Source organism: Homo sapiens, chromosome 10, assembly GCF_000001405.40.
Source record: "Homo sapiens chromosome 10, GRCh38.p14 Primary Assembly".
NCBI lineage: Eukaryota > Metazoa > Chordata > Mammalia > Primates > Hominidae > Homo > Homo sapiens.
Genome location: NC_000010.11, coordinates 118235006 through 118253363, shown reverse-complemented (window position 1 = coordinate 118253363; position 18358 = coordinate 118235006). Strand labels below are relative to the sequence as shown.

Sequence of the window (18358 nt, the reverse complement as noted above, 5' to 3'; positions counted from 1 at the left end):
GAAGGAGGCCTACGTGGGGTGTGGGCTCAGCTATAAAAGGCTCCTCAAGATTGAGACTTGCCACTCTAAGGAGAGAAACCAACGGTGGGAAGCGCCTATTGTTCATTCATTCACTCACCCACTCACTCATTTGTTTTCTTATTAATTCCAAATGGGCTAGGGAGTCAATGGTGTACAATGGAATATTAAAAAGAATTAAAATCTTACCCAAACAATAAATTTTGTAAATAATAAAAAGCCAGAAAAATTTAGTTATAAAGATCTGACTTCAGAATATTTAAGAATACAATGTTAATATTTCATTATCTCCGTATGCAGCATATACAGGGATATCATGTTTATAATATAAATGTGTTAATTATATATAAATAATATGCATGTTACATATGAGATGATGTTAATTCCAAAGGCATTAGCCATTAATATCATGTAGGAAGACATACATTATTACTTCAAGATTTTTCTCTACCAATGCACTCTGCGCTGATCCTATTTCCATCATAGAGTTATTTGATCTATGAGACAGGAAGAGTAGAACAGCCTCATTATTTTTTATATTAATTTTATCTGAGGCTTATCAGGTAATAGACAACAAGCATTTGTCTTGTTTGATTTGCACATAGTCAGAGACCTGACACTAGCTTCGGTGCTTGGGAGGGAAACAATCTTTGTTCAGAAAGTTATTTATTGGACAATTAACATGTGGAAACTATACCAAACAGAATGTGAAAATGGTAAGTTCACGTTGAATTTCCAAAGGGCGGAGGCTCATTCTTCTTGTAGCAAGACCGTGACAACTCTTGCTGATGGAATAAATGGGATCATTATATTTCAGTCTCCAAGTAATTATCAGAAATGAAGTTTTGTGAATCATTTCCTGATGGGGCCCCATCACCCTTCAGTCTTTTGTGTTTAATGGCATTTTGTTTTTGAAAACCTGGGCCTGAATTTAGCTCTTCCAAATGTTAGGGACTGTGTCCTGACTCCGCCCTATCTTGCTATGATGAATAGATATATCAGCTGGTTTTCCATCCTCCACCCAACATGTGATTTTATGTGTCCGAAGTGCTTGTGGCAGGTATGTAACGTTATAGCGAAGCCAGGTGTTCGACCATAATTGTTGGCTCGTTGGTGGATTTGATGGCTGACACATCCGTGGGGAGCGGGGGCTGGACAGTAATTTACTCACCACGGCCTCACCTGGCTGCCTGCTGAGACCCAGGGCTGGAGCATGGCTCTGTGCGGGCCATGGTCAGGAACCTGGGGCTTCCACGACCTTGCTCAGGCCTAAGCCAGAATGCCAGCTCCACATCTTCTCTGCCGGCAGTCTGGCTGCATGTGCTCGAGACTGGCTCTGAGGCCAAACAGAGAATACAACTTGGCTCCAAGGTTGCTTATGTGACTCATAGGCTCTCAAATACCCAGCTGTCTCCTGAACCTCCGGTTGATTATTCAAGATTTTTCTCTACTAAGGTATTCAACCACTGGCATCATAGATTTGCTTGACCTGTGATATAGGAAGCGTTAACTTCATTGTATTTTATGTTAATTCTGTCCTAGTCTTATCAAGTAATAGGCAACATGCTTTTTTTTGTACATATTCAGAGAACTGGCACCAGTTTTGGATGATCAGGAGGAAAAAGGATCTTTGTTCAGGTGCTTTCTAGTTGGACAATTAACATGTGGAAACCATACCAAACAGTGTGTGAAAATAGTAAGTTCACGTTGAATTTCCAAAGGGCGGAGGACTACCTGTTCCTTTTCTCACTGATCAGGAGGTTGTATTGTTTGGTTCAGTGATATCTTTAAATGGCCGATGTTCTTCCAGAGCACTGGGTGACCCTCCGGAGTGGCTGAGGCTTGGCAACCGCTAAAGATCCACTAAAGATCTCTTTTAGTGGGCAAAAGAGTGTAGACAGAGTACCAGGTCCATAAGGAAGTGGCTTGATAAAGTACTTTCATTAGATTGTGCCTTCTGTTGAGCTCTCTAAAACAAGGAGGGAAAAGCCTTGAATGTCTTTCTCATCTGAGTAATGATGTGAAAGTGCTTTTCAGGGCTTGGGGGTGAAGGTGGGAAATAATATTGAGTCCAAGTCCATGTAGTCATTGCACCTGGGCCGTCTGAACACCTTCCTTACCTGGGGAATTACAGTCCTAAATGTCTGTATGGATTGGGGCTATAATATTTCTGGGAAATATAATTTCACACTGTTTTGGACTTCTCACAACCTACTTTCTGAAAAATTCAGATTTGCATTAGTGTTGCAAATTTTAATCCATAATCAAAAGTGGTCACTACCAATACAGGAAGAATTTCCCAATACTCTTATATCAACAAAATACTTTCTACACCAAGCTGGACCCAGTGAAAGTACATGCCAAATTGGCATCTTAACATAGTTAAGTCTTGAATTCTCTTGCAAGTGATGGTTCTTTAGAAACATCCCCAAACCTCCTTTCCCTTCCTAAAGCTTGACAAGACACGGGCCTATCAACACCTGAATGGCTGACCTGAGCCGAGCCCTACCATCTTCATTTAACAGGTCATGTGATTCTGACCACAGCCCCCAAGTTGACACCTGTTGAAATAATATTGGAACCACTTTTGTAACTAATTGCAACCAAGATGTCAACTCAATTAATCTGACAATAGAAATACTCAGGAGAAGCTGCTCATGCCCAAGCTGCTGCTCCCAGTCAAGTCCGGGCTTGTTGTCTATTACCTGACAAGCCTAGGACCAAATTAACACTAAATATAAAGTAATTTAATTAACTCCTCCTATCCCAACAGGCAGGTCCCAGCACCCCGGGTGCCCCAGGCCTTCTAAAACGGAGGACTGTTGCACCCCCAGTGGGTAAACACTTAGATGGTGCTTTTATTACTTTATGTGAGTGATTTGCAACCAAAGATCTCCATGAAACTCCTTTGGCCACTAAAGCAAAAGCACAGCTTTTTAAAATCACCCTTAAAGACATGGTAATAAATTGCATGAAATTCACTCATAGGAAAACATAACTTTTAAGAGTCATTATCCTTCAAGGAATACATGCGCTTCCTGGACAGAGGGGAGAGAGAGGGTTGGGCAGAGTCGGGGGTGAAGAGAATGGAGAGAGAATCTGATTTAAAAGCAACAACAACAACAAGAGGGCAATCGAAAAGGCCCAAAAAATAAAGAAGCCATAATAGATATAAGAAAAAATACACTTTGTGGAATTGTCTTATTATAAAGATATTTCTTGAGCTGATATTTTGCAGGGACACAAAGGCATCTTTTATTTCTAAATTAAAAAAACAAAACAAAACAAACAAACAACAACAAAAAAGCACTGGCCCTTAACTTTCTCATCTTCAGTGAACTGAACATCAACCCATTTAATTATTCTTCCCATTTCCTCACTTTCCAAGATGAAACCATCATAAAGGACATAAAGCAACAGGTTGTAATCCTTATGGTTGCAAACCAAACTGTTCAGTCTGCAAAGGTAAAGTAGACAAGTGGAAAGGCTGCTGGGCAAATGAGACAGCTTATGGCTGTAAATGTTAGCAAGTGGAGTCCTTAACTTGTGAAGATTGCCCCTGAATGTCCTGGGGAGGATGTAAGCTTTTCACAGTCAGGTTTGTGGAGTGGGAGAACTGCCTGAGAACTTGTGCATGTTCTCTCCTGGGCCTCCTGGTGATGAGAGATGGCACAGGCTGAAGGCTGGCTGGGGCTTGGTTTGTGTGGTTGTGGGACAGAATTTTTCTCCATGTGAGGCCAATTAGATTAGACATCAAAATGATAAGGAGGTTGCAGCACATTTTCAAGTGTAGATGAAATAGGTACCTGGGTCAGGAAATACTAGGTCAATAAAAGCCTGCAGACATCATGAAAAGGCAGATCAGTGGGATGGACCAACACCGTGAAATGCTTTAATTTGCAGAAAGGAAATGAAAACTCTGGGAGAAGCCTGTAGCCAATGGAAGTGCCAGCCCAGGGTTCTCTGCTTGGTGATCTCGGGTGATCTTGGGTGTTCTGGGCACCAATTTCCTTGTCTCTTTCTTGAGGGAGTTGGAGTGGATGATCGAAATTTATCACAATTCCATTTAGTACTTGACAACTCAGCACTGAAGACAGCTTCAGCAGCTGCTTCACAGCCACAACTGCACATTAGAATTACGTAGGGACCTTTTAAATATCCCAGTGCCTAGGGTGCATCTGGACCAATTCAGTCAAGATCCCTCAGGGTGATCCCAACATGTTGCCAGGATCGAGGACCAACCAAGCTCTTGTTTTCCCCAGTAAAGAGGAACCAGGGACATTTCCCTGCCATCCTTGAGAAGATGGGGAGGGATCAAAGGACTTGTGCAATCTCTCACTCCATTTCCTGGAAAACAGCTCAGGACAAATTTAAATCAGTGACGGATAAGAAGTGGAGACAGCAAACATCACAAAGTCCTGCAGCTGCCCCCTTGGCTTGCTGGTGGACAGACCTGGAGAAAGCTGCGTGGGGCCCTCCCAAGCTGGTGTGTAAGGCATGGGTCATTGTGGAGCACCTAGAGCTTCTTGCTTCTTTGACTGGTGCTCCCAGCCTGCACTGAGACACAAGCAGTGCCTCCCAACCACGTGCTCTCTGCAAAGCAGCTATCATAGTGTACATAGGCCCTTGACCTCTCTCCAAGGGAATAGGGATGGGGGAGAAAACTGAGACCCATAAAAAATAGTCAGTGTGAAAAATAGATTAAGGGGTGCTCTTTTAGAAAACTGCCCTGGGTTGAAGAGTGTCCTCCCCCAAATTCACATCTTTCCCAGAATCTCAGAATGTGATCTTACTTGGAAATAGGGTTATTGCAGAGGCAATTGGTTAAGGTGAAGTCACACTGGAGGAGGGTGGGTCCGTCCTTCCTTCCTTCCTTCCTTCCTTCCTTCCCTCCCTCCCTCCCCCTTCCTTCCTTCCTTCCTTCCTTCCTTCCTTCCTTCCTTTCTCTTTCTTTTCTTTCTTTCCTCCCTCCCTCTCCCTCTCCCTCTCCCTCTCCCTCTCCCTCTCCCTCTCCCTCTCCCTCTCTCTCTCTTTCTTTCTTTCTTTCTTTCTTTCTTTCTTTCTTTCTTTCTTTCTTTCTTTCTTTCTTTCTTTCTTTCTTTCATCTTGCTTTGTTGCCCAGGCTGAGTATAATAGCATGATCTTGGCTCACTGCAACATCCACCTCCCAGGTTCAAGCAATTCTCCTGCTTCAGCCTCCCAAGTAGCTGGGATTACAGGCACATGCTATCACGCCTGGCTAATTTTTGTATTTTTAGTAGAGATGAGGTTTCACCATGTTGGCCAGGCTGGTTTCAAACTCCTCATCTCAAGAGATCTGCCCTCCTTAGCCTCCCAAGTGTTGGGATTATAGGCATGAGCCACCATGCCCAGCCAAGGGTGGGTCTTATAAGAAGAGATACAGACACACAGGGACAGTGCCATGTGTATTAGTCTGCTAGAGTGGCCATAACAAAACACCACAGACTGGGTGGCATGAACAACAGAGATTTATTTCCTCACCGTTCTGAGGGCTAGAAGTCTAAGATTAAGGTGCTGGCAGGTTTGGTTTCTCCTGAGGTCTCTCTCCTTGGCTTGCAGATGGCCAGCTTCTCACTGTGTCCTCCTGTGGTCACCTTCTGTCTGTTGTTTGTGTCCTAATCTCTTCCTACAAGGATACCAATCATATTGGATTAGGGTTCACCCTAACAACCCCGTTATAAATTAATTACCTCTTTAAAGGCCCTGTCTCCAAATGCAGCCACATTCTGAGGTATTAGGGTTTAGGACTTCAACACATGAATTGGGGACTAGGACGCAGTTCAGCCCATAGCACCATGTGACGATGAAGGCAGAGATTGGAGTGATGTGCCTGCAAGCCAGGCCTGCGCTTGTGAGCCCCTGACTCTCTGAAATCTGTCTCTGCAGCTCCAGCAGCTGCCTGGCATGGACAACCAGACGGGTGCTGGTTTATTCATTCATTCAAGTTACAAGTCGAATGAATGAATGAATGAAGGAATGAATTTAATGAATTCATTGAATGAATTGAATAAATGAATGAATGAATGAATTTAAACTGGGAAGTGATTTAAACTGGAAAGCAGCTCTCACAAGGCAATTTTGCACTCAGCTTTCACTCCTCCAGGTAGCTGCAAATCATGAGAACACAGCGTGTGCACAGTCCAGTGCCCGTCTGACAACACTGCTCGTAGGAGGACTCAGTTTAAGAAAGATTTCAAAATGTAGGAGAAGGGAGAGAAGGGGCAGAGTGCAGCAAGGGGGCTGCAGAGTGCAATTAGATCAGCGAACAGCAGGCAGCCTTTGTCCCCGGTGGGAAGCACCCAGCAAGGGACCGGTGGCAAGGAGCCGCTGAGAGGTGCCTGCTTTTTAAAGGGAAATGTAATTTGTAAACAATCAACATCTTAACAAGCTAAAAGCAATCAGCCCTGACTTCTAGCAGATTTACTGATGCTTCAGTGACTAAAATTCACAATGTTTTTCCCACCCAACTTTGTTAATTTGTGGCCCGTGTTCATTAGGACGATTCCCTGGGGATGGTTTCCAGCCCGGCTTCCAATGTAATGACGCCAAGCCAGGGTCCTGATCATTTCTCCAGCATGGGTGCCGGCCCAGGGCAGCCCAACCCTGTCTTTCTCCCTTTCTCACCGTGTAATAGGCTGGCCTGGTAACTAATAGGATAGGATATGTTTGTTTTGTTTGAAAATTCTAGCGTTTCAAAAATCACCCATCATTTATCACTCATCCGAGATGAGCAATTGTGGGTTGATGCTGGCTGGATGCTTTTCCTCTGAACCCCTCCTCTCTCTACCTCCTCCTACCTCCCACCCCCCGGGGGAAATCAAGAAAAACAAGATTCTACTTGTCCAGGCCCTCCGAGACTCCTCGGAATTGCTGGAATCGTCACAATAAGTGGTAGTAATAGAACCATATACAGGATTGTAAATACAAACTGCTGCATGGAGTGGCAAAAAATAATGAAGTAATTAGGTGAACTATTATCAGCACCTGTGACTGATGGGTACAAGCACGTTTCTGGCTTTATTCCATTGTTATTTGTCAGAAACAATGCAGATTCTGAAGTTGCCTAACTTATTGTCCTACGCCCAGCTTCCCTCTCCCGAGAGCCTCAGTCACCCCAGGTGGGTCGATGCCCGGGTCCAGCCTGCGGAAATGCACAGTGGGGAAATGAGAGTGCTACTTTGCAACCCATTAAGGGGTAATGCCATTTTAATTAGCAATTGATGTGAGCCTAAGAGGTGCTATTTCGTGCATCATTTCTAGGCTAAGCATGGGGCCCACGGACACACAGACCAAGCCGTGAGCCCATTTCGATGGGAGACAATTGAGGGGATGGGGACTTGCAAATAAGTCACCGTTGATTCTCAATGGAAGTGGCCAAACGCTGAGCCTGCATTCTTATACGGTGGATGGCCCTGTCTCCTCACCGAGATTTCTGAACGGAAGTGCCCACTTGCCAGAAATCATGATAATTGGATGATGATAATAATAAAACTTATCATATCAGTGTGCACCAGGCGCTGCTTTAGGCACGGCATTTGTACTTCCTCATCCATTCCTCACAACAACCCAGTGAGAGATACTCTCATCATCCCCAGTCGACAGATGGGGAAACCGAGGCACAGAAGTTAAGTGACTGGTCCTAGGTCACAGAGCTGGGTTTCCAACCCAGGCAGTTTGGTGTCAAAATGTACCCTTCTCATCTTCTGTTCACTGGTCCTGCTTGGTGTGTGCCTTCCAGAGCTATGGACCAAGGCATGTTGACACGGTGGCTGGAACAGGCTGAGCACCAAGAAGGGAAGTGAAGAAGAAGAAAAAGGGTTGTGCTAAAACAAAACAAAACAAAACAGAAAAACAAAAACAAGGCCAGAAGACGATCTCTCACAGGCTTACCCATGGAGTTGGGAGGATCCAGCGCCTTCCTGGAGCAGGTACAACCATTATGCACACGGAGGTATGGATCACAACTCCCATCATTCTCTAGAGAAATGCATGACGTGGACAGGGTAAATCCATTTGCTGAGAGCCACACACACACAGGCTTCTTCTAAGGTTCCTTCCACCCAAAACCTCTCAGGGCCCACACACTTTGACTGGCTGGTTCCTGAAGGATTTGCGTTTTAAACCAATAGAGTTGGTTGAATTGCTAGCAGGTGATTGTGTTTTGCAAGTTCCACTTCCCCCAGCAGCCTGGGTCTTTACTTCCCTCATCCAGTCATCATTTCCAGGCTGGACGCGGTGTCTCACGCCTGTAATCCCAGCACTTTGGGAGGCCGAGAGGGTTGGATCATGAGGTCAGGAGATCGAGACCATCTTGGCTAACACGGTGAAACCCCGTCTCTACTAAAAAAAAAAAAATTAGCCAGGGGTGGTGGCAGGCACCTGCAGTCCCAGCTACTTGGGAGGCTGAGGCAGGAGAATGGCGTGAACCTGGGAGGTGGAGCTTGCAGTGAGCCGAGATCGCGCCACTGCACTCCAGCCTGGGCGACAGAGCGAGACTCTGTCTCAAAAAAAGAAAAAAAAAAAAATTCCAACTTTGCTGGATGACCGAAGACAAGTTACCCAAACTCCTGCGACCTCAAATTTCTCATCTGTAAAATGGAAATAATGACCCCACCTGTGAGGATTAAACGAGTTAATGTTAACTGCTAATTATCATTATTTTAAACAAAAGGAGGATTGTCTGAGAAGCTAAGGAAGCTTAAGCTTCAGGGCCCTGTCTTGCAAGTTCGCTCCCTCAAGGCTCTGTATTCTGTATCAATAATTTTGTTTTCTTTTTCTTAAGGAGAGCATTGCTCCCCACCACCCCTCGGATTGTATAAGCTTCAGGCTCCTCAAACCTGGATCTACCCCATGGTGATTAAGGCAAGGAAGCACGTGGCTGGGCTAACCGCTACAGCTCTGCCTAGCTCAAACACGCAGAGCTTCTAGATAGTAGATCTGAAAACACGTGTGAAGGTCTCGGCTTTGTGAATAGGGGCACACACTTCTAAGAAGATGAGAAGCCATAGAAGACAGTATGTGCTAGATTCATTATAGGGTGACCAACTTGTCCCTGTTTGTCCGGGACTATACTAGTTTAAAAGCTGAAAGCACCATGTCTTGAAAATCTCTTCTGTTCTGGGCAAGCTGGGTCAGTTTATCACCATCCTTGTTGAGAAGCATGTCACTACTATTCACCACAGGGCTCCCGGCTAGCTGAGTGCTTGGCACGTGGTAGGTGCCCAGTAAATATTTGTTGAATGAATGGAGTGTAAACCAGCCATTGGTACCTCACGGGCTCAGAGGAGGACGAGTACACAGTGATCTAAGGTGGACAGGTAGATTTCCTGGAAATTTAACATGAAAAAATAAGCTTGTGATAGTGAAGTTGGATCAGAAAACCACCATTATTGAAAGGAAGGTTATGGAATGTGATGAGGGAATCACCCAAATGCAGGGGGGCTTCTTATACCCCAGGATCATTTCTGTTTACTTTTGTGTACCTGATAACAAACAGTATGTCTTCTATTAGAATTTCCACATCATCATTTTCTCAGCTTGGAAACAATGCCTGTGTTCAAGGCAGAACCCTGAATACAAGCTGAATCTGGTGTGTGTGTGTTTGGTGGGGGCGGGGTGGGGATAAATGGTGCCCCAGGCAGGTCGGCGGTGGGCTTTGGGCATGAGGGTGAGCTGCTCAGGACCCAATTCCACAGGCTGTGTAGACTCCAATTATCCGAGGACTTAGAGATCAAACAGCCCAACTGTGCCTCACAATAAAGGAGGAGGTCTTAATTTTACTTCACGCTACACCCTTCCAGCCAGATCTTGCAAAACAATGCATTGCATTTATGTCTTCCTGAGCCCCAAACCTCTCTGAAATTGTCTCAGGCTATCCCAGCAATATCGCTACAAAGTGGACAGAGGAGAGAGTTAGATGTTCTAAAGAATCATGTGATTTCTACTGGACTGGTCAGAATGTCACGGCAACCACAGATGGCTTGATCAAAATCTCACCCTTCTGCTTTGTTGAGGACAGAGCACTTTTACATGTTATTTATTTTTATTTTTAGGTATATTTGTAGTGACGACATGTTGGCTTGTGGGAAAATAGTTTGCATTAGTCCTCAGCTGAGCTTCCCATACGCACAGGGGACTCAATATATAGAAAACAAGAAAGCCCGGAAAATGCCAATGGCTAGAGACTGGAATTCTGCAAATTTTATTTTTCTCCACTCTCACAGTAAAGACAGGATTTGTAGTAAGGCACAATACTGCCAAAATTAGTCTGATTTTCTTTTTAACAATAACATCAGCTAATAGGTAAATATTCTAGAAAATGTAGTCATTTTGAACATTTGAGATTAAGAAAAGCAGAAAATCTGGAATATTTTTGTAGACATCTAGATATATAGGCAACGACAGAGACCCAAGACCGTAAATCCGGTTTATTTTTACATATTAGCATTAAAATATCTGTCTTGCTTTCAGACAATGAGTTTTTAAAAATTAAGAATAGTGCATCAAAATGATGAAAAATTTTAGGATTTTTTGATATGTAACTTAACCCACAGAAAACCAGATTATTCATCTTGCTACTTGTTTATAGCCCTTTTTAAAAAATGAATATTTCAGACACCTTAAATTGATAAATGTTTCTCTGAAAATAAATCGCTCTTTGATAAAGAGAGTGGAACATAAATGTTTGAGATGTAGCTGAAGCTCTATCACCATTTATGGATCACGATTATAGTTCAAAACGCAAAAGCTGGTATCTTTTGAGGTCGAGCATTTTATACTGAAAGCATATATTTATAATGGAAGTTAACCTTAACATGAAGAGGAAATGATGTTATAGGATTTTCTATTTTGGAACTAATAAGCTATATCATTTCTTATTTGATGGTCTTAAGAAGCAGTTAACATGACTTGAAAGCAACATTTTTCAAGTACTGTAAACATGCTACCATGGAAAACCAGAGAGGAAAAATTTTCCTGTCTGTGAGATTCCTAAACAACTTAATTTGAGTTGTTTACTCTCAAATACTGAATGTTCTTCCCACTGTTCCGCTGTAGTCCGACACAGTGTATTTAATGATTTTTTGTGAAATTTACAACCTAGTGACTTATCATCTTACTTTGAATTGTCTTGAAGATACTTAATGCTGATACTTAACACACACACACAAAAAAACCCCAAACTCTTAGAGTCCTCACTCTGTTTTGAACTAATTAACTTTACAGGAACAAACCTGGAGATACTTATTTTTTCCACTACTACTTTTGGATTTATTATTTCTTTTTATTATAGTAGTCCGAGGTTAGAAAGCTAAAAATTAAAATGGTTGATAATTGTGAAATATATTGTTATTCATGGCAAAATATCACGATTATGCATATGTGTAAGAATTAAGATGTCTTAGGAACTAGCACGGAGTGAGCTGGATGAAATGCGGCACCTGCCACAGAATCTTTCCCCTGTGCTTTTCGGTAATGCCAGGCAAGTCCTCCGGGTTGTAGAAGTCATGGCCAGGTCATGGATTTCCGCACACAGCGATGGCTTCTGTGGGACAAAAAGCAGTGAATATCACGCTACTTACCTTGCTTTATACCACAACCGTTGCAGGCAAGGGTGTCTCCGATGGCGTCTTGGTTTTGCTTACCTGTGTTCCAAAAGAAATCTTTTCCCTGACCAGTTAACTTCTTGGTTGTTCCTTAAGACACAGGGATTTTGGGAAAGACTGTGGCATGCTTTCCTCAGTGGTTCTTCTCAGTTTAATGCCTTAAAGATGGACAAATGTTCACTGGCTGCCCGATAGGCACTGAAATTCGGAGCAATCCAACTTGTTCCAAAAGCGTTTCCCACGGCATATGCACAGTTTCACGGATGGCCACTAGATGGCGTGTGACAACCATTTGTGTCAGCCACACGCAAAGGCTTCCCATTCATTCTCCATAAAGGTATCAAAGGCGTCCTCCAGCAATTCCTCCAAGACAACTTCACTATTACGTTGTTTTCATTTCGATCCTTAAATGGTACCGGTTTACGTTTTGGAAGTAGGGGGACATTTTCAGTGGACGAGCCTAAATCAGAATGTGTGCTGTTGTATTTACGCATCACCGTTAATAAACATTAGCACTTAAAGCTGAATTAAGGCACATCGTTAAATGTCAGTGTGTATCTACCCACTTATCTACGAATGTTTCAACAAACATCTATTAAGTGTCTACTACTATGTGCGAAATGTGACTCGTTCTTCTAAAATACTGAAAGGACGTTTTATTACCAGAAAGTAATACAAGTATCAGAAAATAAAGACATTTTACGTTGCACAGTTGGGTCATTGATATAATGTTAAAATTAAATACATTAGCTCTTTCTTAGCTGAGGTTTTGTTTTCTGTGGTTTCATTTACCTGTGGTCAGTTGTGGCCCCAAAAAATTAAATGGAAAATTTCAGAAATAATTCATAAGTTTTAAATTGCATGCCATTCTCAGTTGCATGCTGAAATCTCTCATCCTCTGTCCCACCTGGGAGGGGAATCTTCTCTTTGTCCAGCATATCCACACTGTCTAAGCTACCTTCCTGTCAGTCACACGGTAGCCATCTCAGTTATCACATAGACTGTCACCGTTTCCCAGTGCTTGTGTTCAAGTAACCCTCATTTTGTTATATAATGGCCTCAAAGCATGAGAGTAATGATGCTGGCAATTTGCATATGCCAAAAAAGAAGCCATAAAATGCATCCTTGAAGTGAAAAGGTGAAAGTTATCAGCTTAATAAGGAAAGAAAAAAATTGTATGCTGACATCTTTAAGATCTACAGTAAGAAGGAAACTTCTACCCACGAATTGTGATCAATTAGTTGTAAACACCACTGCACTTGGACCAGCTTACCCATGAATGGTAAGGAAAAAAAGAAATTCATGCATAGTATATGTAGGGTTTGGTACTATTGCAGTTTCAGGCATCCACTGGGGTCTTGGAAGAATGTATCCCCCATAGATAAGGGGGGAAGTTGTATGCTCCTGGAATTTCAGAAGCTTCTCCTTTTTTTTTTTTTTGAGACAGAGTTTCGCTCTTTTTGCCCAGGCTGGAGTGCAATGGCACGATCTTGGCTCACTGCAACCTCCGCCTCCCAGGTTCAAGAGATTCTCCTGCCTCAGCCCCCTGAGTAGCTGTGATTACAGGCATGTGCCACAAAGCCCGGCTATTTTTGTGTTTTTAATAGAGACGGGGTTTCTCCATGTTGGTCAGGCTGGTCTTGAACTCCTAACCTCAGGTGATCCGCCCACCTTGGCCTCCCAAAGTGCTGGGATTACAGGCGTGAGCCACTGCACCCGGCCCAGAAGCTTCTTTTCTTGATATAGAATAAATCTGAATGTCAGGGGGAAAAATCACATGAAACACCTTGCAAATTATCTTTCCCCTTATAGCAAAATATGATTCTCCTTGCCTTAAAGAATGTAAATTCCTATAAAGAAAATAAATTAATAAAACATACAAGTCCTATAGTGGAATCACTTTTTCTTTCATGTCCATTGTCACCGAGTATAGAAATGAGGTATTTTATTACATAATTTTTACAAATCCGTATTAAGACAAACCTTAATAGGAATGACTTTATCACAAAGTGTTCAGAAAGACATGAGAAAACATCCCCAAAAGTTAGTTCCATATCTGTGGAGAAAATGAAGCAATCTCTAAGATCATTTCCACTTTTAAAAGTCAGCGGTTTTAAAAAAACTAGTGGCATTTGAGTTATTTCACCCTTCTCAAAATAGGTGTGATATTTCTTCTAAGCCAATCTCTAACTGAAAGAAAAGAATGGTCTCATTTTTAGAATTACTGGCTGTTTGTTTGAACTGAAGAATTAGTTGCATTTCAAAATAAGGACATGCCTAATGAAATGATTAAAACATACAGAACATTAAATTATAAGCAGATGGGGGTGAAACCAAGGGAGGGGGGAGGTGAGTTTGCTGGAAACCTGAAGTCCAGGGAAGCTGACAGCTTTGGGTTTTCCTCAATAACACAGAAGATGATTGTTTAAGCAACAGAGGGTAAGAAAACAACCTTTGGAAGACAATCTCTCTCTCTCTCTCTCTCTCTCTCTCTCTCTCTCCTGTCTCTTTTTTGATAGGCAGCACCTTACAAGAAAAGCCAGAAAAGAAAACCCGTGTGTATTGTAAGAGTTTAAAGAGACAGCCACTCCAAAAGAAAATGGACATTCACATTGACGCCTGGAAAAGAACCAGGAGTCACCATGCAAATGTGTCATAGCAGCGAGAAGTCCTGTGAAAGCGAAGGAGATCAGCCAGGCTCCCGTGAGTCACGGTTCAGGATTCAGATCTTCATCTTCCTAAGACACTGATCTCACTGGTCCCAGTTATTCCTGAAACGCTGTCCCTCCTCCGTTTTCCCTGAAATTTATCAATTAAAGTACGGCTCTGTATAGGTAAAAGATAAGAGTTTGATGAGACAGAGTTTACAACAGCTAAAAAAGAAGCTTAGTGGATGGGAGTGGTTCACAGATGGTGCAAATTGTCTGCTAAGTGGCACTTTATGGATGGGCAGAATCCATGAGAGTTTTATCTTGAATTTCTATCAGGCTGCATTCAGCAGAAGCTGGTTCCCTGGAAATTGGCATTTTAAAAAAAATCTCTGTCGTGTGTCTATCTTTCCTGGATATACAATGGCAGTTTCGACCCATTCGAGCTGGCTTCCTGAACAGTGGCAGCGATTGTCTCTGAGTGTGGGTTAATGGATGTAGGTCTAGAGATAAAGGAAATAAACCCTCTAAGATGTTGTCTAATTTTTAAAAGGCATCTCGCCTTCCTCAGCTGTGTATCTTCTTTGTCTTAGATGTCTGCAAGGGAGAGGACAGCATCACTGCAGTGACTGTGGCTTGCACCCAGGGCCAGGGCCAGGCTCCAAGTGAGGGCGAGGGTCACCTTTAGAATGGAAATCGTTTCTTGCTTTAATAGCAGAAAGAACACCCTGGACATGAGTCGGTGTGTGTGCACACACGCACACAACACACACAGACACACACACATACACACACACAACACACATACACACACACACAACACACAGACACACACACAACACACACACACAACACACAGACACACACAACACGCACAGACACACACACACACAACACACATACACACACATACACACACAACACACACAGACACACACATACACACACAACACAGACACACACATATACACACAACACGCACAGACACACAGACACACACACACATACACACACACACACACATTCTTCCCATGAAGGAATTGTCTGCTCTCATTCTCTTTCAGGTAAGACCCCTCTCCCCATTCATCTAAGCTCCTCCGTGTGTCCACCGAACTATATCACATCAGCACTTCCACATCTGTCCTCATGGCACTGAGCACTTCTCTGGAAACTGACCAGTTATTGCAGAGCCTTGTTTCCCCAGCATCATCCTCCAAGAGAAGGTACAAGCTATTGATCTCGCTCTACCTCATGCCTAATTAAAATTCTCAGAGCCATCTCTTCCAGGTAGCAATGGCTATGTGTTCAGGAATTGAAGGATGGGTCTCCTTCCCAGATGATTTGCCCCATTTACCAGGCAGGTCGGGGTTCAATGGAATGCTTAGCTGCACCAATCACACTGGCAGATTAGGGAATAGTGTTGCTCCCTCCTACCTTCCCCACCCAATCACAATATGATCTTAAACTTTTCTCTTTAACCTTTAAGGTTCGTTGAATATGTCCTAATGTAAGCCTCTTTCAGTCTTTGGAAAGAAAATGGGCCATAAATATATACATTTAACACTTGTATATAAAAAAGTATAAGTAGCATCTACTGAAATTCCACCTTTAGGGATGCACTCTTTGGAGACTTGAAGGTATTCTCATCGCTTTATGAGAAAAGAACGTGCTTGGGGAGGTTATCACCCGAAACCTTTCTTTATGAGCTACTGACCAGAGTGGAAGCTGGGGGACCAGAGGCTGGAAGGGACAGGAAATTACTTAGCAGCCAATCAAAAGCAAAGCTGATCAAGGCGTTATGAGGAGATAAGACAGAACTGACCAAGGTGGGGCCTGGGGTGGGGAGAGTTGGAGATGGGGAGGAGTCAAAGGCACATGTGAGCCACTCTCTGTACCCATGTGACCCACACACTTTCCTGGTCTCTCCAGGATCCTACAGGAACAAAGGGATGCCTGTGGCTCTGCAACTGGATTGGAAGGAGCCAAAATTCTCCTGATTTGAGTTTCTGGTTCTGCTGCAGTCAGTCACACGTCCACAAAGACCTCAAATTTATGTCCTCTAAAAACTCATTGAGTAGTTGCCATCATCATCACGGTCTTCATCATGGTGGTAGAAGTTAACGGGAGCAAGTCACTCGCATTATGCCATTGAGACCTCCCCATCGCCCTGTGAAGTAAGCACCGTGTTCACCCCAAGCTCTGGTTGGAGCAGCAGTTGGAGCATAATAAGAGCTCCAGGAAGGGCAGTCACGGCGGCATTCTGTGCGCAGCACTTGCATGGGAACAGTCCCTTGAAAGGGAAAATAAAAAGCTCTATGGCCTTCTAGGTGCTAAGGAGTGATTAATCCACACTAGTCCATTGAGCACCTATTCCATGTCCTTGTGGAAAACACGGGGATGCTGGGTTTGTAGGCGAGGCTATACCTGGCATGCTATGTTGGGCATGTAAAGGTTTGCCAAGTCAGCTGATGGGGGTCTTGGAAGTGTGGATGGACTACCCCTTGCCCTTGAGAAGCTATCTTTGATGATGAGGGGAGGATTTGCAGCGTGGCACAAGGTATGAGGACGAGAAGCACAGAGCCTCTGCCCAGGACATCTGCCTTCCACACTCAGCTGCCAGCAGCGTTTCTCCACCTTCCCTGGCCCAAGGAGCACCTGAGGGAGGTGGATAAAGATGCAGACATCTGAGCCCTATCCCCAGATATGTCGCTTTGGTGTGTCTGGAGTAAGCCAGGGAATTTGCATTTCTACCAAGTTTCCCAGGCGATCCGGATGCTGGGGGCCCACAGACCTTCTGCTGAAGAACAAAGACCTAGAGGAGACAGAGATCCGAGTGGACCAGGGTGCTGTCGGCAGGGGCTGCCTAGAGGAGGGGGAGGTGTTGAGTGGGCCCTGACCTTTATCACAACTAGGACCATTTACCCCACTGGGGGCCCTGTACTTCTTCAGGACTGGGTGCCTAGAAGGGGAAGCACAGACAAAACCAACTCACGCATCCTACCTTGGGAACCCATGCTTGGGAAGATGAAACAAGCCTCAGATTAGCTCTGAGGCCCCCGGAGTGCAGCTCAGGGCCCTGAATAGCCAGGAGGAGGCTGAGGGGCGCCTTACTCAGCTTTGTGTCCAGCTGCCTGGATGGAAACAGCTGAACTTCAAAGGAAGCATGGGGTTTACCCAAGGGCAGCTTGGATGTGTGGGTGGGTGGGGCGCCAAGGGGAGCTGAGGAAAATACTGGAGGAGAGAGAGAGAGAGAGAGAGAGAGAGAGAGAGAGAGAGACTGAGATTCCGGGAGGAAATTAACAGCCTTGCATTTGGGTTTTATTTACGAGATGAGGTGGCTGTACTTGGGATTGTCTTTCACTTGTGTGTTTTAATCAGCACTGAATAGTAAACTCACCCTCATCATCTCTTGAATATCCATGCAGAGAAATTGTTTCATGGTAATTCCGTCTGAAATCCTTTCCTGCACGCATCCTTTAAGGACCACCATTAAAACTCCCTGGGAGCCAGAAGGTGAAGAACTTGGGGCATCCACGTCACACCCAGCGGATGCTTTTGTGAGTTTATTTTTTTCATGCGATGCAGTGATTTTAGAGAGTTTGGCTAAAGGATGTTGAAAACTTCAAACAAACAAAAGCGAGCCACTCAGGATTTGGAAGACTGAACGGTTAAGAGCCTGAACCATGTTCTGTCTCAGGAAGACAAGGGAAGACAGACAGGGCCCCCTAGCAGTTTCACAATAGGTGAGAAGATGTTATCGAAGGAATCGCTTTCAATGGCTTAAGTTACAGGAGGGAAAACATGGGCTCAGAGCTTGAAGAAGTTAAAACAAAACAAAACAAAACAAAAACCAACAACAACAAAAATCAGGGATTGTGCAGAAAAAAAGAACTAGCAAATTAAGGGAACGAACTGCCAAAAAAAGTGGAATTTCCATCCCTGGAGCTATTTTGAGTGGGAGGAGGGACCTCTTTATTACAGGTTGTTCAGAGTAATGAACTCTATCCCACCACAATGCCTGGGAATGAACTAAATGACCCAGGCGAAGTTCCTTCCAGCCCAAACAAC

At 43.9% G+C, this 18358-nt stretch overlaps 1 long non-coding RNA gene across 4 annotated transcripts; it reads right to left on the bottom strand.

The window, feature by feature from the left end:
* Positions 1 to 5489: 5489 nt before the first annotated feature.
* LINC02944 (long intergenic non-protein coding RNA 2944) lies at positions 5490 to 11859 on the bottom strand. 4 transcript variants are annotated; one of them, XR_946349.3, is made up of 5 exons: positions 11682 to 11859; positions 11478 to 11581; positions 7930 to 8016; positions 7731 to 7818; positions 5490 to 5665 (listed from the first exon to the last, which is right to left on the bottom strand). It is a non-coding gene; the product is annotated as a long intergenic non-protein coding RNA 2944 (long non-coding RNA). The 4 variants fall into 4 exon arrangements; XR_001747602.2 differs by having other exon boundaries at positions 5490 to 7818; XR_428818.4 differs by lacking the exon at positions 7731 to 7818.
* Between the last annotated feature and the right edge of the window lie 6499 nt (positions 11860 to 18358).